Source organism: Homo sapiens, chromosome 15 (assembly GCF_000001405.40).
Source record: "Homo sapiens chromosome 15, GRCh38.p14 Primary Assembly".
NCBI lineage: Eukaryota > Metazoa > Chordata > Mammalia > Primates > Hominidae > Homo > Homo sapiens.
Window position 1 is genome coordinate 39929046 of NC_000015.10, and position 27412 is coordinate 39956457.

The window sequence follows — 27412 nt, forward strand, 5'->3', positions numbered from 1 at the left end:
TAAGCCAAATGAAATTTACAAGATATGTCATAGTCAAACTTCTGAAAACTCAGACATAGAAAACTATCTTGAGGGCTGGGTGCAGTGGCTTACGCCTGTAATCCCAGCACTTTGGGAGGCCAAGGTTGGGGATTGCCTGAGCTCTGGAGTTTGAGACCAGCCTGGGCAACACGGTGAAACCCTGTCTCTACTAAAATACAAAAAAAAAAAAAAATTAGCCAGGTGGGGCAGCGTGCACCTGTTGTCCCAGCTACTCAGGAGGCTGAGGCAGGAGAATTGCTTGAACCCAGGAGGCAGAGGTTGCAGTGAGCCAGGATAACACCACTGCACTCCAGCCTGCACCACTGCACTCCAGCCTGGGCAACAGAGCGAGACTCCGTCTCAAACAAAAACAAAAGCAAAAACAAAAACAAAAAACAACAACAAAAAAACTATCTTGAAAGTAGCCAAAGAGGAGTGCCACATTACCTTTAGTGGGAAAACAATGTGAATGATAACAGATTTCTCACTGAAACCATGTAGGTCAGAGAGAAATGGCACACTTTTCAAGTACTGAAAGAAAATAACAGTTGGCCCAGAATTCTATATTCAATGAAAATATCCTTCAAGAATGAAGGGGAAAGGGATTGCAGTTTTAAAATTTGGGAAACAGTGACCAAAATCTGAGAGCTTCTCTTTGGAACATCAAGGGCAAGCAGCAAGACCAGGAGATGTAGTTTGGGGGAGCAAGAAGGACATATAGGATTAGAGACTCTTCTTTGGAAGACTGATCTAAAGGTTTAGGAAGTACTTGGAGAAGAAGGAAATGTTGGGGTGTCCTGATGAGTTGGTTTGTGAACCCCAAGTATACAAAGACATCCTTATGAGGCAGAATGTCTCAAGGACTTAGAGGTTATCTCCCAGGAGCCAGTCATGGGCAAATCTTTTCTTTGAAATATACGGAGTTTATACATCGCAAGCCTGCTTAGTTAACCCCGTATTGCACATACAGCAACCAAATGCAATGTGTGGACCTTGTTTGAATTTTGATTCAAACAAACCACTGTAAACAAAACAAAACAAAAAAATGACCTTTTCCTTTTTTCATTTAACAGTTTATTAAGGTATAGTAAACATATAACACATTGCATATATTTAAATTGTACAGTTTGATAAGTTTTGATATATGCATATACTTGTGACATGATCACCACAATCAAAATAATGAATGTATACAGACATCACTCCCAAGAGTTTCTTCTTGTTCCACTTTAATCCCTCCACCTGGCTCTTCTATGTCCTCCCTATCCCCAAGCAACCACTTATCTTCTTTCTGTTACCAAATTTGTATTTTTCAGAATTTTATGTAAATGGAATTATGTAGTGTGTACTCTATGTCGGCCTTCTTTCATTCGGCATAATTATTTTGAGTTTGTCTATGTTGTTGCTGTATCTATAATGTATTTCTTTTTATTGCTGAATAGTATTTCATTGTATTGATATACCTCAATTTGTTTATACTTCAATATGTCCATCTTGTGTTGGTGGGCATTTGGTTTGTTTCCAGTTTGGGGATATTACAAATTAAGGTGCTACAAATATTTACATACAAGTCATTGTATGGACATACGCTTTTGTTTCTCTTGGGTAAATGCCTGGGATGGAATTGCTGTTTCATATAGTAGGTATATGCTTAAGTTTTTAACTAAAATGGATGATAGGCCAAAAGGTAAAATCTAACACTATCTAGATGAAGACATAGAAGAAAACCTTTTTGGCCTTGGGATAGGCAAATATTTCTTAGATATGACTGCAAAACATAATTCATGTAAGAAAAAAATGACAAATTAAATGTCCTCTAAAGTAAGAAACATGCTCTTTGAAATACAGTTAAGAGAATGAAAAAGCAAGCCACAGACTGGGTGAATATTTTTGCCTGTCACATATCTGATAAAAGACATGTCCGGCCTGGTGCAGTGGCCTACACCTGTAATTCCAGCACTTTGGGAGGCTGAGGCGAGCAGATCACGAGGTCAGGAGTTCAAGACCAGCCTGGCCAACATGGTGAAACCCCGTCACTACTAAAACTACAAAAATTAGCTGGGCGTGGTGGCATATGCCTGTAATCCCAGCTACTCGGGAGGCTGAGGCAGGAGAACTGCTTGAACCCGGGAGGCAGAGGTTGCAGTGAGCTGCGATCGCACCACTGCACTCCAGCCTCGGTGACAGAGTGAGATTCCATCTCAAAAAAAAAAAAAAAAATACATGTCCAGAATATATAAATATTTCTCAAAAGTTAATAAGAAAACAAAAACAAAATTTTTAAAATGCACCAAAGATGTGAATAAAAACAGAAGACAGACGATATATGAATGGAAAATAATCACATGAAAAGATGCCCAACATCATTAATCATTAGGATAATGCAAGTTAAGACACACTGAGATACTGCTAAGCACCAATTACTATGTTTAAGATTAAAAACATTACAATACCAATTACTGGCAAAGAGGTAGAACAACTGGAACTCCCATAAACTGATGGGAATATAAAGTGGTACAACCACTTTGGAAAACACTTTGACAGTTTCTTATTTTTTTTGCTTTGAACTTTGACTTTAAAATAATTTCCAACTTACATAAAATTTTCAAGTCACTCAAAGAGCTCTCATATATCCTTCACCTAAATTCTCCAATGTTCAACATTCTACATTTGATTTAGCATCATCTCTCTTCTTTTTCCTGAATCATTTGGGAGCTAACTGCATATTTAATACGTCACTGCCCCCTTAATGCTGCATTTGGTATAATACTGCCATGTAATCCACAGATTCCTTTCAAATTTTGCTGTTTGTTTTAATTATATCTTTTATAGGTCCAGCGTCCAGTATAGATTCTAATTTTACACAATGGAAATATTTGAACATAGATTAGGTATTAAACGATGCTAAGAAATTGTTAATTTTTTTTTAAGAGACAAGGTCTTACTCTGTTGCCCAGATTGGAGTGCAGTGGTGCAATCACAGCTCACTGCAGCCTTGGACTCCTGGGCTCAAGCAATCCTCCCACTCAGCCTCCTGAGGGTGGGACTACATGTCACCTCGTCCAGCTAATTTTTTATTTTATTTTTTGTAGAGATGGGGCCTCGCTATGTTGCCCAGGCTGGTCTCAAACTCCTGGCCTCAAGTGATCCTCCACCTTGTGCTGGGATTACAGGTGTGAGCCACTGTCCCTGGCCAAAGGGTTACATTTTTAGGGTATAAGATTAGTAATATGTTATGTTGGTTCCTTTTCTAGTTAGAGATATATCCTTAGGTATTTATTTTTTAAAATGATATGATTGAGACTTAAAAAAAACACTCCTGAGGGATGGAGAGAAGAGATGAAATAAAATTGACAAAATATCTATGGTTGTTGAAGCTGGATGATGAGTACAGAGGAGTTTACTTCTAAGTATGTTTGACATTTTCATAAATATAGGTTTAAAAGAATTTTTTTAAAGACCAATAGAGAAATGGAGTAATTTTAAGGATTAGAGTGCAATGGCCATATTTGCAATTTAGAAACATTACTCTGGCTGCAATAGGAAGAATGGCTTAATGTGGGGCAAGAATGAAGACAGTGACTAATTAAGAGAGTTATTGAAGTAACCCAGGGAATTGGTGACAGTAGCCTGAACTAAGTTAGTGGCAATGGGTTAGAGTGTAGTGGATGGACAGAAGTGGTGACTATTTGGATGTGAGTTGAGAGAAAGGGAATTCAGAATCACACTCAGTTGAATGGTGCCATTTACCTAGTCAGAGATCACTGGAGAAGGAACGGGTCTCCAGCAGAGGGAAGATGATGATTTAAATTGGCCTTGGGTCAAGCTAGTGCATTTGTGTTATCTGGCCAGAAATGAGTGGATAGATGGCAGCAAGGAATTTACACAATCATTATTTAGTGAACAGTGGAGGAGTAAGCAAGGTAGACAGAAGAAACGTCACTTAAACCTAACTTGGGTTAGTACAATAGGATTATTCGAAATGGACATGCAGCATTAGTAAGTTACTGAAGATGAAGTGCAATAACAATGTCTGGGTAGACAGGTTATTATTTTATAAACTTGAAAAACGACGACTTGAGGCAGGATATAACACAAAGACTCCCTAAATTCACACTGAGTGAACTGGGAAGGGAACATGATTCTCTTCATGGGAAGGTAGCTCATAAAGATGCCTGAGTGGAAAGACAGTTTTCAATTGAATTTGCAAGGTGGTAGTGGAGATCCCCAAAGCTGGGGAATGTAGAGACAGAGAACATAATGAGGGTGTTGAATCTGTGGCTCAGAGAATAAGTTTGGGGGTACTAAAGTGGGAGGAAGGAGGGTGGGGGGGGTCACAATTTTTACTCCCGGTAGTCTTGTTCTGGGAAGGTACAAGGTGAAATTAGAAGTGACCTCAGAACCCATCGACGTCTGCCCTTTAAGAGTTTCCCGGCCGGGCGCGGTGGCTCATGCCTGTAATCCCAGCACTTTGGAAGGCCGAGGCGGGCGGATCACAAGGTCAGGAGATCGAGAACATCTTGGCCAACATGGTGAAACACCATCTCTACTAAAAATAGAAAAATTAGCCGGGCGTGGTGGTGCGCGCCTGTAGTCCCAGCTACTCTGGAGGCTGACGCAGGAGAATCGCGTGAACCCGGCAGGCGGAAGTTGCAGTGAGCCGAGATCGCGCCACTGCACTCCAGCCTGGGGAACAAGAGCCGAAACTCTGCCAAAAAAAAGAAAAAAGAGTTTCCCGCACTAGCCATGCCAGGGTGGAGAAGTTCCAGCAAGCACTTCTGTTAAAGATACTTGTTTCGTGAAAACTATACAATGTGGCGTTTTCATTCCTATCTGTGATTCATTTCTTAAGTTCGTGGAGTTCCTTTGCTCCCCTTCCCCCAGCAGGATGTGGGCAAAGCTGTCCCCCTGCCTTCTTCCTTCGCCTGGGCTTCTGGAGCCTCCGGAGCTAGCTCCCGGCGCGGAGCTCCGCCTACGGCCCGTCCCCGGCGCGGAACCCCGCCCACGAGCCCGTTTCCAGCGTGGAACACCGCCCATAGCCCGTCCCCAGCGCGGAGCCCCGCCCCGCAGGCTGCCGGGGGCCCACCGCCGCCCAGGCAAGGCCGCCCTGCCTTGGGCGCAGCGCTGCCATGGCTGGGGGCCGTGGGGCCCCCGGGCGCGGCCGGGACGAGCCTCCGGAGAGCTACCCGCAACGACAGGACCACGAGCTACAGGCCCTGGAGGCCATTTACGGCGCGGACTTCCAAGACCTGCGGCCGGACGCTTGCGGACCGGTAGGAACGTGGCTTGTCAGGCCCGGGCTGGCGTGCCCTGGCCTCCCCGGGCCCTGGGCCAAAGCCCGGACACTTCCAGATTGGGCCGCCGCTTTAGGATCCTGCAGTCTTTTCATCCCTTAGGTTCCACCCATGCTCACTTTAGTCCTTGCACCTGCAGCTGGTCTGCAGAATCCCACCTAGGCCGAATTCTTCTACAGTCCTTTCCCCATGATTTCCCCAGAGGAATCCCCCTGGATTCCTCCCTCTTACCTGGCACTGCTTCTTATTCCTGCCTACATCCCATAACATAACTGCCTCCTTCCAACCTTGTCCTTTTTCCCCTCTGAAAGCCCTTGCGGATGATACCACAGCAATTCATACGCGCCCCTTGCTACTTTGTTCTGAGAACGCTTTTTGGGCTCTCGCACAGGCCTTACGTCCTCAATCAGAATTCTCAAGTCTCATCCATGCATTCAAATCTGCACGCCACATAATTCCCTCTGTACTCCCCAGGCATCCTCACTGTGTTTTCCGGTATGGAGGAACTTTCCATACCTCTGCACCTTCCTCTAAGACATTTAGCTCAGAATAAAGCACACATTCATCTTAGCTGTAGTAGAGAGAGGGTTCTAGACTGAGTCTAGAGAAGGAGTGTCCAATCTTTTGGCTTCCCTGGGCCACACACAAAATACACTAACACTAAGGATAGCTGATGACCTAAAAGAAAAAAAAAATTCGCAAAAAAACCTCAATGTTTTAAGAAAGTTTACGAATGCGTGTTGGGCCACATTCAAAGCGGCCCATGGGCCTCGGGTTAGACCAGCTTGCTCTAGCTCTAGACCTTTTAAAATGGCATTTTGTTTAAAATAATATTTTGCCTTTTTGTCTGGAAATTAAGGCACGTTATAAAGTATTTATACTGACAGTTTTTTCCCCATCCTTGAAGAGTTGATCTACCAAACTATTTCTGAATATTATCATATTATCATTTAAAACATAGTTCTAACTTCATCTGCTTTTTTTTTTTTTCTTTTTGAGACAGGGTCTTGCTCTGTCTCCCAAGCTGGAGTGCAGAGGCATGACCACGGCTCACTGCAGCTTATTCTCAAGCAATCCTTCTGCCTCAGCCTGTCAAGTACCTGGGACTACAGGCACATGCCACTACACCTGGTTAATTTTTTTAATTTTTTGTAGAGACAGAGTCTTGCTCTGTTGCCCGGGCTGGTATCAAGTTCCTGAGCTCATGCAATCCTCTCACCTTGGCCTCTGAAAGTGCTGGGATTACAGGTGTGGGCCACCGCGCCTGGCCTCTTCATCTGCTTTTAACTTTGGCATTTCACAACATCTGCTCTATCTACACATCCAGGATTTCCTCAAGAAATACCATCTTCTGGAGCTATCAGGACAAAATATTCTCTCTCAAACTCAGGGTGCTTCTTCCTTCATTAAATATTTGTTTTAGGCATTAGGAATACAGCTGTGGGCAAAACAGACAAAAATCCTTGCCCTCAGGGAGCTTACTTTTCTAATGCTTAATAATATGAAGTTATTTTTAACCTGAAATGGTAAAAATATAAATTATTCCCCTTAACATGACAGAGAAGTTGGTGACTGGGGAACTTCTATCTTCCCAAACCTTGAGAATCAGGAAGTAGGCCCAAGAAGCAGCCAAAATAGGTGTCTCAAAGTGTACATGGGACTCAACACAAAGCTCCTAAGGCTTCATTCTGAACTAGTTTGTTTACTTTATACAAGCTTAGTTGTCTGCTCCTAGGGCTGCAGAAAAATGGAAGAGAAAAAGCAACTTCTTTTAGGTAGGGATATTGATAACCTCAAGAATTTATAGCTGGTGGCTTTCATAACAAGATGGAATACTAGACAAACCAAAGCAAAAACTATAGAAGGCAGGCAGAAGAATTTAAATAGCTGTCTGTGGCCTATTGTACACCGGGCAAATGGCCTCAACACATTCATAGGACTGGCAGGCAAATAATTGATGGTCTCAAGGATGAATCAGAGTTTAGTCATTCAACAAGCACTTATTATCACCTGCTATTTGCCAGGGAAAAGTGATGCAGGTCCAAAATCCTTTATCCAAAACTCTTTATTGAGAGGGAGTTTCTCTCTGTCGCCCGGGCTGGAGTGCGGTGGAGCAATCTCGGCTCACTGCAACCTCCACCTCCCAGGTTCAAGCGATTCTTGTGCCTCAGCCTCCTGAGCAGCTGGGATTACAGGTACCCGCCTCCACACCTGGCTAATTTTTGTATTTTTAGTAGAGATGGAGTTTCATTATGTTGGCCAGGCTGGTCTCGAATTCCTGACCTCAAGTCCTCCCGCCTCGCCTCCCAAAGTCCTGGGATTACAGGTGTGAGCCACCGTGCCCAGCCTTTTATCCAAAACTCTTGAGACTTGATGGGTTTCAGAATTCAGAAGTGCTTCTGTTCACGTTTATGTGTGCACATTCCACACATTACCTAATACCTTCCTCAGTGTCTGGGGCAGCATCGAAAATCAAACACAATGAAACATAGAAATACTCAAATTTCACACTGAACAAATAAACACTATAACTAACCTCATGTCAGTTCAGGCTAAATTTGCTGCCAATAAATTCAGGTTAGATTTTTTTTTCAACTTCTTTTAGTGGGGATGTGTTGTAATATAAATTTCAGTTTAGTAGCATATGTATATCATTTATAAATAACATTTTGAGGTGCATGCTAAAAACTTTTGCATTTGTAAAAAGTTTAGACACTGCTAGTTTAAAGTATCTATAATTTATAGATAGTTACAAATTACTAACTTATTTTGGCTAGCTTTCCACAGCAGCAAAAGGTCTGCTCATTTATAATTTGATAGCTTTTGGAAACATCCCTCCAAAAAACTTGCTTCAATCCCTGGATCCCCCAGTAGTGTATGGTGGTGTTTGTTTTCCTTTATCTTCAACAATACTATATATGTTAGACTTTTTCATCTTTGCCACATAAATGAAACATATCTCATTTTAATTTTTATTTATTTATAAATTATCTAGAACACCTTTGTTTACAAACCATTGATTTTTCTTTTTCTGTGAACTGCTCATACTCTGGTTTATTTTTCTACTCTGTGGTCCATTTTCTTGTTTATTTGTAAGAGCTAAATATCTTAAGAAAACTAGCATTTTGGGTCATATAATGCATATATTTTTCTCCTAATTATATGCATTTATTTACGTAATTTATGTGATTTAAAAAATGTTGATAGAGTCAAAATGACCTTTTTTTTCTTTTATGGTCCCTGTGGGTTTTTTTTCCCCCTCTGTTCCAATGTTACTAAAAACCAAATTCGTCAAAGTTTACTTTTAACTTGTTCATGACTTCGTTTTTAAATTTTCATCAAATAAAGATATAAGTAGGTTTTTTTTTTTAAGTTCTTCGTTCCATCAAAGTACGGGCCTAGGCCACCTCCCCGTGTGCATCCCTCCTCCTCCAGCTAGGCAGCTAGACAAATATAGGCAATTGAATTTTTCAGTGTCTTCCACTCATTTGAAATGCCATTCCTACAAGCCCAGTGCCTGGTAAAACAAACAAAAAACTTTCAAAAATTGTTACTGAATGAAATAATTCTCAAATGTATTTCAAGTCTCTTTTTTTCCTTGCCTGGAATGCTTGGTCTCTTGGCTTGTCTCAGCTTCAATGCTACATCCTCAGATAGTTCTTCTTTGATAACCACATTTAAGTATATACCCTCACACCCCAAGTCGTTTGTTAAGGAGAGCACCACGTCATCTCTTCAACGGCACTCTCTAAGCTTGTACTTATGTGTTTATTATGTTTGTTTTCCCCCACCAGACTGAAGTTCCATGAGAGCTGGAACCATATCTGTGTTCTCACCTCCGTGGACTAAGCACAGTGCCTGACACAGAGTCAGTGCTTAGCAAATATGGGTGATGGATGTGTGATGGGTGAATGAGTGGATGAAAGACCTGTGGACCAAAGAGTGCTTAACCCTTCCCCAGACCACATTCGCAGAATTATGCTTTATGGAAGGACCCACACATTTATCAAGGATTATTATAAAGCCATATAAGAACTGATCTTACAAATTTTGTACACATAGTAGAAGAGTACAGTGTTTATTATATGGTACTCCTTGTAAGGTTCACGTTATAAATTTCTGTTAGAATTTAGTATTATAAGTACTTTGCTTCCCTAAAATAATTTTTAGGCTTTCTCTTTTCTGATGATACCACGTTTCTCTTTTTGCCCTGCCTGCCAGGACATTCAGAGAAAAAAATCAAGGCTCAATCCCAGCAACTTAGGATGGCATAATAAAAGAGTGGCTTATGGGAGGAGACAGGGTTTGGAGTTAAGGCTGGGTTTGAATCCCAGCTCTGTCCCTGTGTATCTGTAGGCAAGAATGTAAAACTCCCTGAGCCTGAGCTTCTGTATCTGTAAAATGGAGATGACACCTGCCTTGCAAAGTTGGTAAGGTGCCTGGACCATGGGAGCGCTCAGCCATTGTTTTTTCTCTCAGACTCCCCTTGTTCATTATATACATATAATATGAACTACTTCAAATCCACTTTGGAAAAAGTGTATCTAAATTGAAGAACAAGGGTATTTTGCGATTTGGTGAAAAGTAGTTGATTGAAAACATATGCAATTCTCTCCTTGTCAAGGGTTTTCATTTGTTAATATCTCAGTATTCAGATCTCAATTCAAATCTCCCCTGCTCGCAGAGTCCTTCACTGACCTACCTGTCCAGATACCTTCTCCTCGCCCACCACTATGTCCCTCTACTCTGCTTTGTTTTCTTTACAGCACTCATCACTATTTGAAATCACTCGTCTTCTAGTTTGTATCAGCTGGTTGGGACTGTGTCTGTCTAAATTTACCCCTGCACTCCCAGCTTCCAGGAGAGCACCCAGGCATAATAACTCAGTAACATCTGAACGAATGGAAGCTGAGTGGAACATTTTGGTTCATTCCTTAGATAACTTAAAAAAGGAAAGTGCATTTTCACTGGCTTAGGTTTTGTTTTTAAATCATGCTTTTGGAAAGTATGCCAGATTATCTATTTAAAATATAATTACAAATATTTTTAAAGTAGAACTTTTGATCTAAAATGATCATTATCTTAATCATTAATGATTGGCTCTACAGCTTTGAAAAAAATTTTTTTTGTTTTTCCTCTTTTAGGTCAAAGAGCCCCCTGAAATCAATTTAGTTTTGTACCCTCAAGGCCTAACTGGTGAAGAAGTATATGTAAAAGTGGATTTGAGGGTTAAATGCCCACCTACCTATCCAGATGTGTGAGTACATTTATAAATAGCTTTGACGTGGTTTCAGTTTTCTGTTTTGACAACATAGAAACAGATTGAAATTCGTAGTATTTTCTCCTTCCTGCTCCCATTCCACATAAAATTTCATTTCCTCTATTTCAACAAAACTACATCAGCAATAGATGTTTTCATGAAACCTGTCTCATTTTAAGCCTGTTCATAGTTATAGAATTGTCACTACAGATACTTATATTTGCCTAGTGACTATTTTGCTTCCTCTGATGTGTTAACTTTTGTTTATTTATTTCTTCATAAGTTAGGAAGAGGAAAATTTGGAAGAAAACAATAAAGGCATGGTGACTGTTGAAAGCCCTTGCATAGTTAGAGTGTGGCTGGTATTAGAAATTCAGCAAGTCTGTGCCTCAGATGACCTTTCACTGCCTAGAGTGAGGGAGAGTATTTGGATCTGTCCTGCCTCTCAATGGGGCACTCTGGCGAGTGTCCATTGTGCAGGGCTGTGCTGTGCACTGCAGTACGTTTAGCATCCCTGGCCCCCACCTACCAATGCCACGAGTGTCCTCCAGGCATTGAAACAACCAAATAACCTACATATTTCCAGACTCCCTCTGAAGGTGATGTCACCTCTGGTTGAGAAAAACTAGTTAGAGCCAAAGTGTTAGCCATCAGCACTTAAGCATGTCTATTTGGTGTAATCTTTCCCCACCCATCCCACATGGAAAGGCAGGTTGGCCTGGATGGCGTTAAGTAGTTTGAAATTATTGTATGGGGAACCAGTGAAGGTTTTTGAGATGGAAAGGGACAAGTAAAAGGAAACTCTGCTTTACACAGTGGGTGGTAAATTTATGGAATTTATTATCCTAAGAAGTGATAGGGAGGATATGAAAAGACAGATAAGTCAAAATTGAGCTCCTTGAAGTCAGTAACCATTCTTGGCCCCCAAAACTGTCCTGAGAGTATTATAGTAGGTATACTATACATACTATAAAAATATTAATTAACGAAACGTTAATTATAAAACATTAATGAAAAAGATAATTAAAAATTTATGAAAGGAAATTAAAAGAGTGCCTCTCTAGGTTGTTTTTTTTTCCTGACACCAAATACATGATGCCTTTTCTGATACCATGTGGGTGTCCAGTAGTTCAGTTCAATTCTGACACTATCTGTAGTTAGCAAAGACCCCACAGATTAAGGACCCAGTTCCACAAGATTGCCTCCATTTCTGATGCTAGTGGCAAGTCCCAGTACTTCTGACCATTTATAGCCAGTATTTATAACTGGCTATAAATTTAGGGGTTTCCACCACCCCCTCCTAAGTTGCGATAATTGCTAGAATGCATCACAGAACTCAGTTTCTGTGAGTTACATTTACCAGTTTGTTGTAAAGGATATGGCTCTGGAATAGCCACATGGAAGTATTATGAAGGGTAAGGTGTGTGGGAAGAGGCACAGAGCTCCCATACCCTCTCCAGGCCTGGCACCCTCCCAGCACCTCCCTGTGTTCTTCAACCAAGAATCTCCCTGAACCCTGTCGTTTAGGGGTTTTTATGGAGGTTTCATTATGTAGAGATGATTGATTAATTAAATCTTTGGCCACTGGTGATTGAACTTGATCTTCAGCCCCCTACTCCTCCCTAAAGATCTGGGATGGGGCTGAAATTTCTCACCCTGTAATCAAGGCTTGGTTTTTCTGGTGACCAGTCCTGATCCTGAAGCTATCCAGGTACTGACCAGAGTTCCCTCATGAGTACTAACTCCGGTATGGTTGGAAGGGGTTTGTTATGAAAAACATAAGATGCTCCTCTCACCCCTGTTGCTCAGGAAATTCCAAGGGTGATAGGATCTCTGTGCCAGGAACAGGGGTCAAATATCAAATATATATTTTTTTATTATACCATAGCCTCAAGAATTCAAAGTGTTTATTCTTGAAAAATCAAAATAAAGAAAAAGGTATAAGTGCTATAATGTTATATAAGTGCTAAAATATTAATTATAGCATTATTTGTGAAAGCAAAGATATTGGAAGCAATCTAAATGTCAAATACTAGAGTGAGGTTTCTCCACCTTGGCACTACTGACATGTGGGCAGATAACTCTTTGTTGTGGGGTCCTTCCTGGGCATTGTGGGATATTTAGTAGCATCCCTGACCTCTGTCTGCTAGATGTCGGGAGTACATTTCTCCCCAGGTTGTGGCAACCAAAAAAAGTCTCCAGATGTTGGCAGATATCCCCTGGGGCCAAAATCACCCCTGGTTAAGAATCATGGCACTAGATAACTATTCAGGTAAATCTTAATGTGTCCACTTGATAAAAATATTATGGGATGATTGCTTTTAACATGGAAATGCTTATAAAAGTTAAAAAGCAAACATTATAATATCAGCTACATAAACTATGAATTATATAGCAAGGAAATAAAGAGAACATTAGAATTTTTTTTGAAGTTTAATTAGCATCATTGATGATTTTTTCTCCATTCTGTTAATATTGCTATATTATGATTACTTATTTTTTAAATTATAACAAAAATCTTAATTTGGGGTAATATTCTTATCCTTTTGAATGTGGTACAGGAAAACATTGCTTTTCTGCAGAATAGTCCTGGGTGCCACTGTGAGAGAGAGACTCCCGGGTTAGATTCTGGAATTCTGGAAATTTCAGCCCCATCCCAGACCTTTGGGGAGGAATTCTAGAAATTTCAGCCCCATCCCAGCTCTTTGGGGAGGAATCTAACCCAGGATTCCATACATAGAGTCAGGACTGTATGGTTTGTTTTTCTGTTCTTTCCCTCATATAGACTACTTTCTCTCAGATTTCTATCTATAGAAATAGATAATGATCATAGCACCCTTTCATACTGAAGCATTGAGAGAACGCATAGATAAGTGCATACTCAAGACTTCACTGGTTAAATGCCATGAATTACTCAGAAATGCTTGGTAAAAAGTGATGAGTCATCATCTCTTCAGTAAAATTAAATAACTCCTATTTAATCTGAGAGAGTTGTTATTGGATATTTATTGGTTGGGAATAAAATGAAACCCGAGGGCTGGTTGTGTAATGTCCTTGAGTTGAAAGTGTTGACTTAGATGAGCTCTAGGCAGAGGTGCAGAGAGTGTGCATGACTAGATGTATTTATACACAAGAAGTGAGCATTTCCACCTGGTTTCGATCAGAATGAGTGATTGGGATGCAGCAGTGTGTTGTGGGAATACTAGAGGGATCACCAGGGCTCCACTCATCTATTTATTCTTGTTCTGCTTTATGCTAGAGCACACCTGAATGCAGAGCGCTTGGCCTTGCCAGTGAGCTGTCAGAGCTAGGTTAATTCTCATTGGCTGCAAGCTAGGGTAGAGAATTACCATACAAAGGAGCACATGGTTAAGTTACTGGGCTAGAGTCAGCTGCAGAACTGGAATGATTTTTTTTTTTTTTTAAGGTGAAGAACTCAGAGTTAGGGATCCAGGTCAAATCGTAGGAAATAAATAGTAATTGATGTTGGGAAATTTTAATCAGATTGTAAAGCTGAAATTAGATACAGGGGTCAAGCCCAGTAAGTCTAACAGCCCAGACAGAAGGCTTTGGCCAGCCCACTTCTTCCCTGTAGGACGCAGGTGACTCCACTGTCAACTGGAGTTGCAGGGATATGGTTGAAGTCCCTTTGAGATTAAGGGCCTTGGGCCCAGAGTGCTTTCAGTTTAGCAAATATTAATGCAAACAGGCTATACTTTCTGGAGTAACTCTTTTTTTTTTTTTTTTTTTTGCCTTTTCCAGAGTTCCTGAAATAGAGTTAAAAAATGCCAAAGGTCTATCAAATGAAAGTGTCAATTTGTTAAAATCTCGCCTAGAAGAACTGGCCAAGAAACACTGTGGGGAGGTAAGATTTGTTAAACTGGAATTAAAAGAAGACAGTAAACTTCCCCATTACACCTCAAATCCAATTTTGAGTAGCATGTTTTGTGTTTTATTGGTTCTACAAAAGGGAACATTGTGATTTTTATTTATTTAATAGGATTAATGAAATTTGTAGTCTATAGATGGTACTATTGATGCTGAAGAATGTTTCTGAAAATTGCTAGGCATGGTGGCTCACACTTGTAATTCCAGCACTTGGGGAGGCTGAGGTGGGAGGATCACTTGAGCCCAGAAGTTTGAGACCAGCCTGAGCAAAATGGCGAGCACCTATCTCTAAAAAAATTAACTGGGTGTGGTGGTGTATGCCTATAGTGCAAGCTGCTCAGGAGGCTGAGGTGGGAGAATTGCGTGAGCCCAGGAGTTTGAGGTTACAGTGAGCTATGATCACACCCCTTCACTCCAGCCTGGGCCATAGAGCAAGACCCTCTCTCTTAAAAAAAAAGAAAAAAAGAAGAAGAATTTTTCTGAAAACAGTTGATGTGAACCCAGCCATACTTTTTGTATACTTTGGATCTTGCATCATGACTTGAACCTTTTTGTTGGAAAATGTGGGCAGACAAACAATTTCGGACCACCTCTCCCCTTTGCATATCAGAGGAATTTGTTGTTTTCTTTCTCAATAATTAGTGACACACTCTACTCCTTCAGTGTCTGTCATATACCTGAGCATTTACACTGAGTGCAGTACTCATTCTTTTTTAATCTTCTGAACATTAGGATCTACATATGAGTTCTCTCCTGGGTGGCACAACTCTCTGTGGAAGGCAAGACTAAGTGTCTTCTGGAGGCAGAGTATGACTGTGCTTTCCTTAGGCCAGACCAATTCCCTCGAAGTATAACGCTTCTTTGCCCCACTTTTGTGTAAAATCACTCAGTGTTTTTGCCTGGCAGCTTATGTTTAACGATCTCTTTTTTTTTTTTTTTTTGAGGCGGAGTCTTGCTCTGTCACCCAGGCTAGAGTGCAATGGCGCAATCTCGGCTCACTGCAAGCTCCGCCTCCCGGGTTCGCGCCATTCTCCTGCCTCAGCCTCCCGAGTAGCTGGGACTACAGGCACCCACCACCATGCCCGGCTAATTTTTTTTGTATTTTTAGTAGAGACGGGGTTTCACCGTGTTAGCCAGGATGGTCTCAATCTCCTGACCTCGTGGTCCACCCGCCTCGGCCTCCCAAAGTGCTGGGATTACAGGCGTGAGCCACCGCACCCGGCCAACGATCTCTTTATGTGAAAACTAAGAAGAGGTGCCCTCGGCTTCCATGTCTGTTTCAGACTTTTATTAGACATAACCAAAGATAACCATTCATCTCATGGAAAGTAACTGGACAGATTTTTACTTGCTTTTCATAACACAATGAGTCATAGTACAGTCCATGGAATGCCTTTTAGTTGTAAAAATTGTGTCCATTTAAGTTGCTGCTTCCAAGAACTTCAGTGATTGATGAGATTTAGAAAGTGAGTGTAGAACGGCCTGGATAAAAAACTAGGCCTTGGAAATGATTCCAAAGTTCTTTCTAGTACAAGGGGATTCCAGTGTCTAACTGAAAAGTAATGTGAAGTTATTTGGAAAATTCAGCTCCAGAGAAACCTCTGGTTTCTTGGATTTTTGATTTGTGATTTAAATTTTTTTTTTTTTTCTTTTTGAGAGACGAAGTCTCACCATCTTGCCCAGGCTGGTCCCAAACTCCTGGCTCAAGCAATCTTCCTTCCTCAGCCTCCCAAAGTGCTAGGATTACAGGCCCGAGCCACCACACCCAGCCTGATTTAAATTTTTATTTTGAGATAATTATATATTTATATATACCTCTTACCCAGTTTGCCCCGACAGTAACAGTTTGCTGGAAAGAAGATCAAATTAGCCACCACATTCCTTTACGCCAAAGCATAATCTGGATCAAGGCCCTAACTCTCTTCAATTCTGTGAATGCTGAGAAGAGATGAGGGAGCTGCAGAAGAAAAGTTAAAAGGTAGCAGAGATTGGTTCATGAGGTTTAAGGAAAGAAGCCATCTTCATAACATAAAAGTGCAAGGTGAAGCAGCATGTGCTCATGAGGAAGCTTCAGCAAGTTACCCGGAAAAACCTAAGATAATTGATGAAGGTAGCTACAGATTTTCAGTGTAGATGAAACAGTCTTATATGGAAGAAGGTGCCATCTAGAATTTTCACAGCTAGAGAGGAGAAGTCAGTGTGTGGCTTCAAAGCCTTATGAAAGGACAGACTGACTCGCTTGTTAGGAGCTAATACAGCTGCTGACTTTTCAAAAGTTGAGGCCAGTGTTCACTTACCATGCCCAAAGTTCCAGGACCGTTAAGAATTATGCTAAATCTCCTTTGCCTGTGCTCTATAAATGGAAAGGCAAATCCTGTATGATGGCACATCTGTTACAGCAGGGTTTACTGAGTATTTTAAGATCATTGTTGAGACCTGCTGCTCTGAAAAAAAAGATTCCCTTTAAAATATTATTGCTCATTGACAGCGCACCTAGTCACCCAAGAATTCTGAAGGAGATGTACAAGGAGATTAATGTTGTTTTCATGCCTCTTAACACAACATCCATTCTGTAGCCCATGGATGAAGGAGTAATTTTGACTTTCAAGTGTTATTATTTAAGAAATACATTTTACAAGCTTATTGCTGCCATAGATAGTGATTCATTTGATCTGATGTGTCTTAGCAAAGTAAATGGAAAACCTTCTGGAAAGGATTCACCATTCCAGATGCCATTAAATACATGATTCATGGAAGGGGGTCAAAACATCAACATGAACAGGAGTTTGGAATATGATTCTGACCCTCATGGATGACTTTGAGGGGTTCAAGACTTCACTGGAAGAAGTAACTGCAGAAGTGATGGAAATATCAAGAAGTCTATTACTAGAATTAGAAGTGGAGCTTGAAGATGTGACTGAATTGCTGCAACCTCATGATAAAACTTTAACAGATGATTAGTTGCCTCTTATAGATTAGGAGAGAAAGTGGTTTCTTGAGTGGTTCCTGAAGATGCTGTGAACATTGTTGAAATGACAATCGAGCATTTAGGATATTTCATAAACTTTGTTTTGAAGCAGCAGCAGGGTTGGAGAGGATTGACCCCAACTTTGAAAGAAGTTCAAGTGTGACTCAAAGGCTATCAAACAGCATTGAATGCTACAGAGAAATCTTCCATGAAAGGAAGAGTCAATCGATGCAGCAACTTCATTGTTGTCTTCTTTTAAGAAATTGCCGCAACCACCCCAGCCTTCACCAGCCACCACCTTGATCAGTCAGCAGCCATCATCAAGACAAAACCCTCTGTCTGCAAAAAGATTATGACGTCCTGAAGGTTCAGATGATCATTAGCATTTTTTAGCAATAAAGTATTTTAAAATTAAGGTATATACATTGATTTCTACAGACATAATGCTATTTCACACTTAATAGACTACCATATAGTGTAAACATAACTTTTATATGCACTGGGAAACCAAAAACTTTGTGTGACTCGCTTTATTGTGACATTTGCTTTACTGAAGTGGTCTGGAACTGAACCTGCCATGTCTCAGAGGGCCGCCTGTGCTAGCATTCATCTGAGTCATCGTCATATAATGAGATTTGAATGGGTGTTAAACATGGGAAGGCACTGTGCAAATCACTCTTCTTGTTTATCTAAAATTCATTTCCATTAAGTCTGGAGTACTGGAAAGTCTAAAATAGACATAATTCTAAAGAAATTTTTTTATTTTCAAGTAAAATAGAGTATAATTAGGTACTAAAGCATGGCATAGGGATTCATCTTGGTATGGCATTCACTGATACTTGCCTTTTAAAACTAGGAGTCATTTAATTATTTGAATGGAAATAAGTACTCAAAAACAGCTTGTTCTTAAGCACTTCCAATTGCTTATGAATGATTTTTAATCTATACACAGCTCTTTGTCATGTAAAAATAAACTTAAGTATACTCTATTTTTTCAAATTTGTAAAGCCAAAGTTTATTTTTTTATTAATTTACTCAACAGATATTTATTGTCTGTGTACCATGTGTCAAGTGCTATTCCAGCACTGGGAAAACCACAGTGAGCAAACCACACCATGGGCTACACTGGGAAGGGAACAGACAGAAAGCAATCAAATAACTGCACAACCAATCAGGCAGTTATAAGTGCCATGAAGAAAATCAGGGTGAGCGGTCTAGAGAGTGTGACAGTGGAGTGGCTGTTCTTTACAAGGCATTCAGGAGAGGCCTCCAAGACTTAAGCAGAGGTCTGAGGGAGGCCAGTGAGCCCTGTAGCACCAGGGGAGTAGGAGGCAAGAGTCAGTTTGGAAAGTAGTTCTTTTCATCCAGTCTTAGAAGGTTTATCAGGTTGATTTGTACAGAAAACTCTAGTAAAGTAAATAGAACAGCAAAAGAAAAACCCTCCACAGCTTGGCTCCTGCCTCCTTTTTGGTTTAGAAGTGGTTTCTCTTTGACATGATAGAAATTGCCTACTTTCCCCAGCTTTCATTAGAAGAGCTTTTCTTAGAATAACCTGCCTCTTAGACTGTAGACTAGTGTTTCTGACTGTAAAGTGAAATATATCCAGTAAATGCCACAGCTTCTGGTGTAAGAAAAAATGCATTAACATCACCCAGCAAGAGCTGTGCTTTCTTTGCATTTGCTCCCTGAGAGAAAGGCAGGATACCAAATGAACTAACTTTATATTTTTGGGTACAATGACTTCTATTATTATTTACCACCCTGTTAAGTCCCTTTAGAAACGGTTTCAAACATATAATGAAAATAAGAATTTTAAAATTGCTTCACTGTAACTGAGAAAAAAAATCTCAATGTTATGTTCCTCATCCACCAAAGGATCAGCACTCTTTACCTCTTTGGGGTTGGGTAACCAGTCAGGGAGGGTCTCAGAAATCTTTGTTCTATTGATTTATCAACCTAAGTATGATTTATGTCTCCTGCGGGTAAGGGAAAGGGGCTTCCTGTGTTCACATAAAGAATGTGTGAAAGGGAGACCTTTTTCTTCCACATTCTATCTGTGACTGCTTCTCTAAGTGGAAATAAAATACTTTCTAAGTATTTATCAGCTTTTTATTGACCAGTTACTAACAAGGAGATAATAAGGCCTTTAAATATTTGCCTCTGTACTCCCAACAATATTTTCAGTATGCTGGGTAGACAGAAAAAGCTCTGATCTTAGCAATGAGTATTCTCTGCCCAACTCTCATTATGTGGACAGGTTTTCTAGTTGGGAAGATAGCTTTTACTTTCATGCAGTCTTAAATGTTTTGTCAGATTTATTTCTAAAGAAATATATTTTATTGGATTTACTATAGAGAAAATGCCAATAAGTTGAATAGGTCTATAAAAGAAAAGTGAAGCTTTTTATTTACCTAGGTAATGATCTGTCTTGATAATAACACAATGCAATGGGCCCTTTAAAAGCTTTTTCCTGCTGTGATTATATCATATACCGAATTCAGAGTATGTCATATCAAAATGAATAATGGCATTCTAAGTGGGCCTCTGACCGCCAGTTTGCTTTCCTGTTCTGTAGCCTCTCCTGTTTGGGCCTTCCCATTATTTGATCATTTGTGGTTGATTTTTGTTTACATGTTTAGGTGATGATCTTTGAACTGGCTTACCACGTGCAGTCATTTCTCAGCGAGCATAACAAGCCCCCTCCCAAGTCTTTTCATGAAGAAATGCTGGAAAGGCGGGCTCAGGAGGAGCAGCAGAGGCTGTTGGAGGCCAAGCGGAAAGAAGAGCAGGAGGTGAGATGCCCTTGTCGATGTCTGTGTGCATGGCCAGCCTGGAGGATTGCAAACTACTGTAGGTTTTATCTGTCTCTGCCTACAAACTTATCTTTAAGTTTTGCTCAGCCTTTGATTCAAGAAAGGTAGACACATGTGAGAGTATGAAAAATATGAGTGATTCCCTCCTGACACATATCAGTACTGTCCCTTAGAGCCCTCAGTCCAGGTCTTAAAGAAATAGAAGAGAAAAGAAGCTGTTTAACCAAACCACCTGTGGTCTTTTGGAGCTTGTTAGGGTGTACAGGAGTTCACTGCATTTTAGAAGCTATTTTCTTCTTCCCTGTGCAAGACTAGTATCTCATGCCCAAATGAGTAGCAAAAGCCAGAGAATAATTTTTTTATTCAAACATTTAGATGTATATATTATCTTTGATTTAAAGGATTTTAAAAATAAGACAGTTAATATCTACGCAAACAGATTAAAGAAAAAATACAAAGATTAAATACCATTTGTATTTAAATCAAAGATAATATATGCATCTAAATGGTTACCATTTGTATTTTATAAACTCCTGTTTATATCCTATGCTGAGATTCTAAAGATTTGTTTAAATTCAAGTTTGTTTAAATACAAATAGTTACCATTTGTATTTTTCTTTAATCTGTTTGCATAAAGATATAAACTCTTGTCTTATTTTTAAAATCTTTTAAATCAAAGATAATATATGCAACTAAATTCCCTTTTTTATTTTAATTTATTTTTCTAAAGTTTTAAATTTTTTATTTGTTTTTTCTATTTAGCACTTTAATCAACTTATCTAGAACTTACTTTGATTCAGGTTATAAAAAAAGCCTAAGTATATTTTTCTTAGACATTTTCCTAACACATTTATTAAATAATAATTCTTGAAGTGATTCATAATACTTTCTTTAAACTATATGTTTAAAAATAGTTTAATGTATTTTAATATTAACAGCAAACGTGCAAGAAGTGCACAGAAGACAGATAACATTAAAAACATGTACTTGCATGTAGGACAACTCAGTTAGAAAAGTATACTGAGGCCAGTTGTGGTGTCTTGTGCCTGCAATCCCAGGACTTTGGGATGAGGCAGGTGGATCACTTGAGGCCAGGAGTTCGAGACCAGCCTGGCCAACATGGCGAAACTCTGTCTACTAAAAATACAAAAATTAGCCGGGTGTGGTGGCAGGCACCTGTAATCCCAGCCACTCAGGAGTCTGAGGCACGAGAATTGCTCGAACCCGGGAGGAGGAGGTTGCAGTGAGCCAAGATCGTGCCATTGCACTCCAGCCTGGGCGACAACTAGACTCTGTCTTCAAAAAAAAAAAAAAAAAGAAAAGAAAAGAAAAATATAGTGAATGGGTGTAATCTACTGTATGATAAGAATGCTACAAACCGTTTAGTTGCCATCAATAAAAAATGTACTTATTTTGATCCTTCTATATAGTTCATAAGCTTGATGATCGGTGTTCACACACATGTGAGATACGCCACCTGTGAACCTTGTTAGGACATCAGCACATTACCCATCTGACATGAAAGCAGAAGAAAGAAAGAGAAGAATTTACTTGTTTTTAAAAAAATCCAAATACTGGCATTATCCAGAAAAATGTAACAGGTTTATCTATAATTATTAGAAAGTTAAACTGCCGAAACTTGTTCACTGAAACATTTTGATTTGCATTAATGCTTTACATCCCCCCCATTTATATTAAAAATTCACACATGAATGAAAATAGAAAAACGGCCAATACGTGATTTCTGTCCCCTCTTTTTCCACTCACAGTCATATATGTAGGTACCTTTTGACCCCATAGGAAAAAAATATTTAACATTCAGAAGTATCAGGAATAATAAGAGAATTTTTTGCGGGGGGAGTGAAATTTCCCATCATAGTGGATTCTTTTTGTTTCTTTGTTTGTTTGTTTGTTTTTGAGACAGACTTTCGCTGTTGTTGCCCCAGGCTGGAGTGCAATGATGTGACCTCAGCTCACTGCAACCTCTGCCTCCCGGGTTCAATTGATTCTCCTGTCTCAGCCTCCCAAGTAGCTGGGATTACAGGCTTGAGCCACCACGCCCGACCCACAGTGGATTCTTAAGCACGCTCTCCATGTATGTGTCATGCTAGCTGGATATCTTTCAGCACAATTGTTACATGTTTGGCATGGATAGATAGCATACAGGTTGGTGTTTTCAAAAAGGCCAACCAGATAGGCCTCACTTGCCTTCTGCAAAGCACCAATAGCTGCACTCTGGAAGCACAGATCTGTTTTAAAATCCTGAGCAATTTCTCTCACCAGATGCTGGAGGGGAGTTTGCAAATCAGTTCAGTGGACTTGTGGTAACGTCTAATTTCACAGAATGCCACAGTACCAGGCCTGAAATGATCGGTTTCTTCACTCCTCCAGTAGAAGGTGCAGTCTTGCAAGCGGCTTTCTGTAGCCAGTGGCTTCAACCCAGGAGGCAGAGGTTGCAGTGAGCCAAGAGCTTTACCACCTGTGGATTTGTGGGCAGTCTCCTTTGTATTATACAAGCCATGGTATAGAGACCTCCTTACTTACCCCCTTCTCCTTCTGCTGGAGTTATAGGTGGTGCAGCGGCGGCTGCAAACGCAATTCTCAAGTGCATCTTAACTGCTTACCTATACTACGTTCTATTTGTCAATGATCTGTTCAACTCATCTGTTTTTTCTTGAATCTCTACCACACTCTTTGAATTATTGTATCTTTATAATGCTTTAATATCTGACAAGTCAATCCTACCCCTCCCCATCCCTTCATCTTCCATTGTTTTTGTTTCTCAGCCATTCTCACCCATTTATTCTTACAGAAGATGTACAGAATTACTTTCCCATAGTCAAAACAAAACAAACATCCTGGGATTTTTATTGATTTTAAAAAATCTTACATATTTATTTAGGAAGAATTGATATCTTCACAGTATTTAGACTTCCCATTCAGGATTGTTTCTTTTTCCATCCAGGGCTGTTTGTTTTTGTTTTCTGTTTTTTGGATTTTTTTTCTTTTTTTTTTTTTTGAGACAGCATCGTGCTCTGTCGCCCAGGCTGGAGTGCAGTGGCGCAATCTTAGCTCACCGCAGCTCAAGGGATCCTCCCGCCTAAGCTGCCTGAGTAGCTGGGACTATAGCCGTACACCACTGCACCTGCCTAATTTTAAAATTTTTTTGTAGAGACAAGATCTCCCTATGTTGCCAGGCTGGTCTTCAACTCCTGGGCTCAACCAATCCTCTGGCCTCAACCTCTCAAAGTGTTAGGATTACAGGCATGAGCCACCGTGCCCAGCACCATTTGTATATCTATTTTTATTTTTTGTTGAGGCTTTCTAATTTTCTTCCTACAGATATTACTATTTCTTAAAGTTACTTTTAGTGTTTTGTTCTTAGGTTCTTATGCTTGTCTCTTTTTTCATTTTATTTTGTTTCTGCTTCATTTTGTTTATCCTGTGCTTACATTAACACTGTCTTTTTGTAGGTGCCATTGATTTTGTTACTTATTTTCTATTTAAGTGTGTAGCCTAGTTATTGTTGGGAGTTTGTAGTTCTTTTTTATTATTTTTATTTTATTTTAATTTCTTGAGACAGAGTCTTGCTCTGTTGCCCAGACTGGAGTACAGTGGTATGATACTGGCTTACTACAACCTCCATTTCTCAGGTTCAAGCAATTCTCCTGCCTCAGCCTCCCGAGTAGCTGGGATTACAGGCACCCACCACCATGCCTGGCTAATTTTTGGACTTTTAGTAGAGACGGGCTTTTGCCACATTGGCCAGGCTGGTCTCAAACTCCTGACCTTGTGATCCATCCACCTTGGCCTCCCAAAGTGCTGGGATTACAGGCATGAGCTACCGCACCCTGCCGGGAGTCTGTAGTTTATTATTGTCCTTGTTGTTAGGAAGGCTAATTTTTATTAGAAGATAGTGACTATTTAGCTAACAATTTTGTTTTGACATACTGCTATAGCTACCTATAAGTTTGGGGTGTGTTTTTACACATTGTATTATTGCTGTTATGGTTTTTGGTGAATCTCTTAATAGTTTTGATAATTATAATCTGGAATTTTAGAGGAATAATGCAAAATAGAGATCAAAATACCACTTTTAACATTGAGAAAGCTGATTAGAAAATACAGGTGATTGAAGAATGGCAGGTAGGTATGGTACTTGGGCCATGGCTACCTCAGGTGCAGGCACTGAGGCTTGCTCAGCCCACCTTCACCAAGCTGACCGGGACCCCCATGGCAGAGAGCAGGCACAAGTGCTTGTTCTCTGCAGATAGGCAGATATCAAACAGGAGGAGCTAAGACAAGTGTCGGAAGAAGTGAGAAGCCAACAGTGTTGCTGTAGTGGAAATCTCCTGCACATAGAAACATGAAGAATGGGGAGTAAATGCCCCTCCCCACACACGCTCAAACCTGTTTAAATGGGAATGCCTATTGCGTAAGAACTCTGATAAAACTGATAGAACTGCAGTTTGTACTAAGATGCTGTGTTTTCAGATCTCTTAGGAAGAGAGGGTTTGAATTATTGAAAGTTAAAAGATTTTTCTGTAGTTCCATAATTTATATGTTGTATGGGTTTCAGAGATTGGCATTTGATGATGGTTTGATTTATTTCAGCAACGTGAAATCCTGCATGAGATTCAGAGAAGGAAAGAAGAGATAAAAGAAGAGAAAAAAAGGAAAGAAATGGCTAAGCAGGTACCCTATCAACTCCACCATAATAATTTACATTTTGCAAAACAAAGTGTTTTTATTTCCACTGATGACATCTGTGTTACTATCAGTAATACAGCTTAAAATAAAGCACTAAAAATAAATAAATATTCACTGTGTATTTCAGACTCCCTAAATAGGTGGCAAAATTTAGAGTTTTATGTTGTCAGTAGATGATTTAGACTTACATAATTACTGTAATTTATCAAATGAGGGAGGGAAGAGATTGCGTCTTTAATAATTAACCTGGACTAAAATTGTTCTTTTTTTTGAGACAGAGTCTCATTCTGTCGCCCAGGCTGGAGTGCAGTGGTATGATCTCAGCCCACTGTAACCTCCACCTCCCAGGTTCAAGCAATTCTCATGCCTCAGCCTCCCGAGTATCTGGGATTACAGGCGTATGCCACTACGCCTGGCTAATTTTTGTATTTTTTAGTAGAGATGGGGTTTTGCCATGTTGGCCAGGCTGGTCCTCAACTTCTGGCCTCAAGTGATCCACCCACCTTGGCCTCCCAAAGTGTTGGGATTACAGGCGTGAGCCACTGCACCTGGCCTAGAATTCTTAATACTTGGAAAATAAAATGATTTGTTGATACTGAAGAGGGAATAGAAACCATATGGATCTGCCTGAAATTTCATCCAGTGATGAAAAAGAGTAATTCAACAGAGCAGATTTAAAAGGCAGTGGTGAAAAAGGATAGAGTGCTTTTTCCTTTATTTTTCCTGAGTCTAGCTCAAGCAAAAAACCAGTCAGACGTGTTTGGAGAAATTCAGAGAAAATTTTACTCATTCTCTTTTACATAAATTAGAGCATTAAACTTAAGGGACATGATGTGGTAGCAGGAAGAGGCACTGAAGCACAAGCAAGCTTCTCCTGGTTTAAAGCTTCAGCTTTCCTGCTGCCTCACTTTGTGACCTTGGCAAGGTGACATTCTCTGTGACTCTCTTTACTTGTCCCTTAAAATGGGACTGATAATGCCTTTCTTTCTGTCTTGTATAATTACCTCCACAGATAAGTGTACTGCCCTATGTGAAACTAAACCTGCGTAAAAATGTAAGATGAGATCCCTGTTTCCACCAGTGCTCCTGTCTTGCTCCTGACCTGCCTTCCTGTCAGCCACTCTCTGCCCTCTCTTTGATTCTCCCTTCTTCTGTTCATCTCCTGTTACTCTTCTCCCTAACTTTTTACACTATTGCAAGATTCTAAGCATTTTCATTTATAAAATTTACATTTTCTTGAAACCATAACCTGGACTTCAGTTCTTGAGCCAGTACATATTTAGGCATTAACATTTTTTTAATTTTATTTTTTAATTGACCAATAATAGTTGTATATATTCATGGAGTATATAGTGAAGTTTTGATACATATAATGTATAGTGATCGGATCAGGGTAATTAGCACATCCGTCACTGCAAATATTTAGCATTTCTTTGTGTTGGAAACATTCAATATCCTCCTTCTAGCTATTTTAAACGATTAAAAGTTAAGTTCAATTTTATTTCACTTGTAAACATTCAGCTTAAAATTTGCATTCTATACTGAATTAATAATTATGTACCATGATTTTCTTCCATGTATGACTTACATCTAAAGTAAGTTTTACTTTTCTTGTTCTAGGAACGTTTGGAAATTGCTAGTTTGTCAAACCAAGATCATACCTCTAAGAAGGACCCAGGAGGACACAGAACGGCTGCCATTCTACATGGAGGCTCTCCTGACTTTGTAGGAAATGGTAAACATCGGGCAAACTCCTCAGGAAGGTCTAGGTAAGTCCCTGGGATTTCTGATCTGGGAGAATGACAGATGTAGAAGGATTTTACTACATTGAAGATGTAGTGAAATTTGATGGAAATTTCAGGCGATAGTCTTAATAACTTTTTTCAAACCTTATATATCTTAATATATTAGCAATATATTAGGTGTATTTTTAGCAATATGAAACTAAATTGCGTTTAACACTTTCCAAGTATCTATCATGAATCTAGTTTTGTTGCTCATTCCCTTTTTTTTTTTTTTTTTTTGAGACGGTGTCTCGCTCTGTCACCCAGGCTGCAGTGCAATGGCACGGGCTCAGCTCACTGCAACCTCTGCCTTCTGGGTTCAAGCGATTCTCCTGCCTCAGCCTCCCAAGTAGCTGGGACTACAGGCATGTGCCACCACACCTGGCTAATTTTTGTATGTTTAGTAGAGTTGGGGTTTCACTGTGTTGGCCAGGCTGGTCTCGAACTCCTGACCTCGTGATCCACCCGCCTCGGCCTCCCAAAATGCTGGGATTACAGGCATGAGCCACCACACCCAGCCTCATTCCCCTTTATAACAGCCTATAACACATCACAAACTTGCCTTAGTACGATTTAACATTTATAAACTTAAATTCAGTAAGTGATTTTAAAATTTTTCTTCCATTTGAATCATCATCATCCAGTGTTTCAGTCTACAATGCCTTAGGTCCCAC

The 27412-nt window shown here is 40.0% G+C and overlaps 1 protein-coding gene, 1 non-coding gene and 1 pseudogene across 2 annotated transcripts in view, besides 3 other annotated features; 2 read left to right on the forward strand and 1 right to left on the reverse strand.

Annotated features, from left to right (window-relative positions):
• Positions 4783-4922: an enhancer, noted in NCBI's record as "active region_9218". NCBI's record gives its function as "activates an Ori minimal core promoter by ATAC-STARR-seq in GM12878 lymphoblastoid cells {active_cell/tissue: GM12878}" and the evidence as "EXISTENCE:reporter gene assay evidence [ECO:0000049][PMID:35858748]".
• Positions 4943-5352: a silencer, noted in NCBI's record as "silent region_6314". NCBI's record gives its function as "represses an Ori minimal core promoter by ATAC-STARR-seq in GM12878 lymphoblastoid cells {active_cell/tissue: GM12878}" and the evidence as "EXISTENCE:reporter gene assay evidence [ECO:0000049][PMID:35858748]".
• Positions 5070-27412, forward strand: part of EIF2AK4 (eukaryotic translation initiation factor 2 alpha kinase 4) — a 101477-nt gene continuing 79134 nt past the window's right edge. Inside the window, exons 1-6 of the mRNA NM_001013703.4 lie at positions 5070-5294; positions 10460-10572; positions 14338-14440; positions 20071-20223; positions 24859-24939; positions 26575-26723. Coding sequence (NP_001013725.2) covers positions 5151-5294; positions 10460-10572; positions 14338-14440; positions 20071-20223; positions 24859-24939; positions 26575-26723 — 743 coding nt within the window. The 5' untranslated portion in view covers positions 5070-5150. The remainder of the gene's footprint in view (positions 5295-10459; positions 10573-14337; positions 14441-20070; positions 20224-24858; positions 24940-26574; positions 26724-27412) is intronic.
• Positions 10877-10966: an enhancer, noted in NCBI's record as "active region_9219". NCBI's record gives its function as "activates an Ori minimal core promoter by ATAC-STARR-seq in GM12878 lymphoblastoid cells {active_cell/tissue: GM12878}" and the evidence as "EXISTENCE:reporter gene assay evidence [ECO:0000049][PMID:35858748]".
• LOC124903607 (small nucleolar RNA U13) lies at positions 21661-21763 on the forward strand. The gene has a single exon (XR_007064833.1). It is a non-coding gene; the product is annotated as a small nucleolar RNA U13 (small nucleolar RNA).
• H3P38 (H3 histone pseudogene 38) lies at positions 21781-22844 on the reverse strand (annotated as a pseudogene).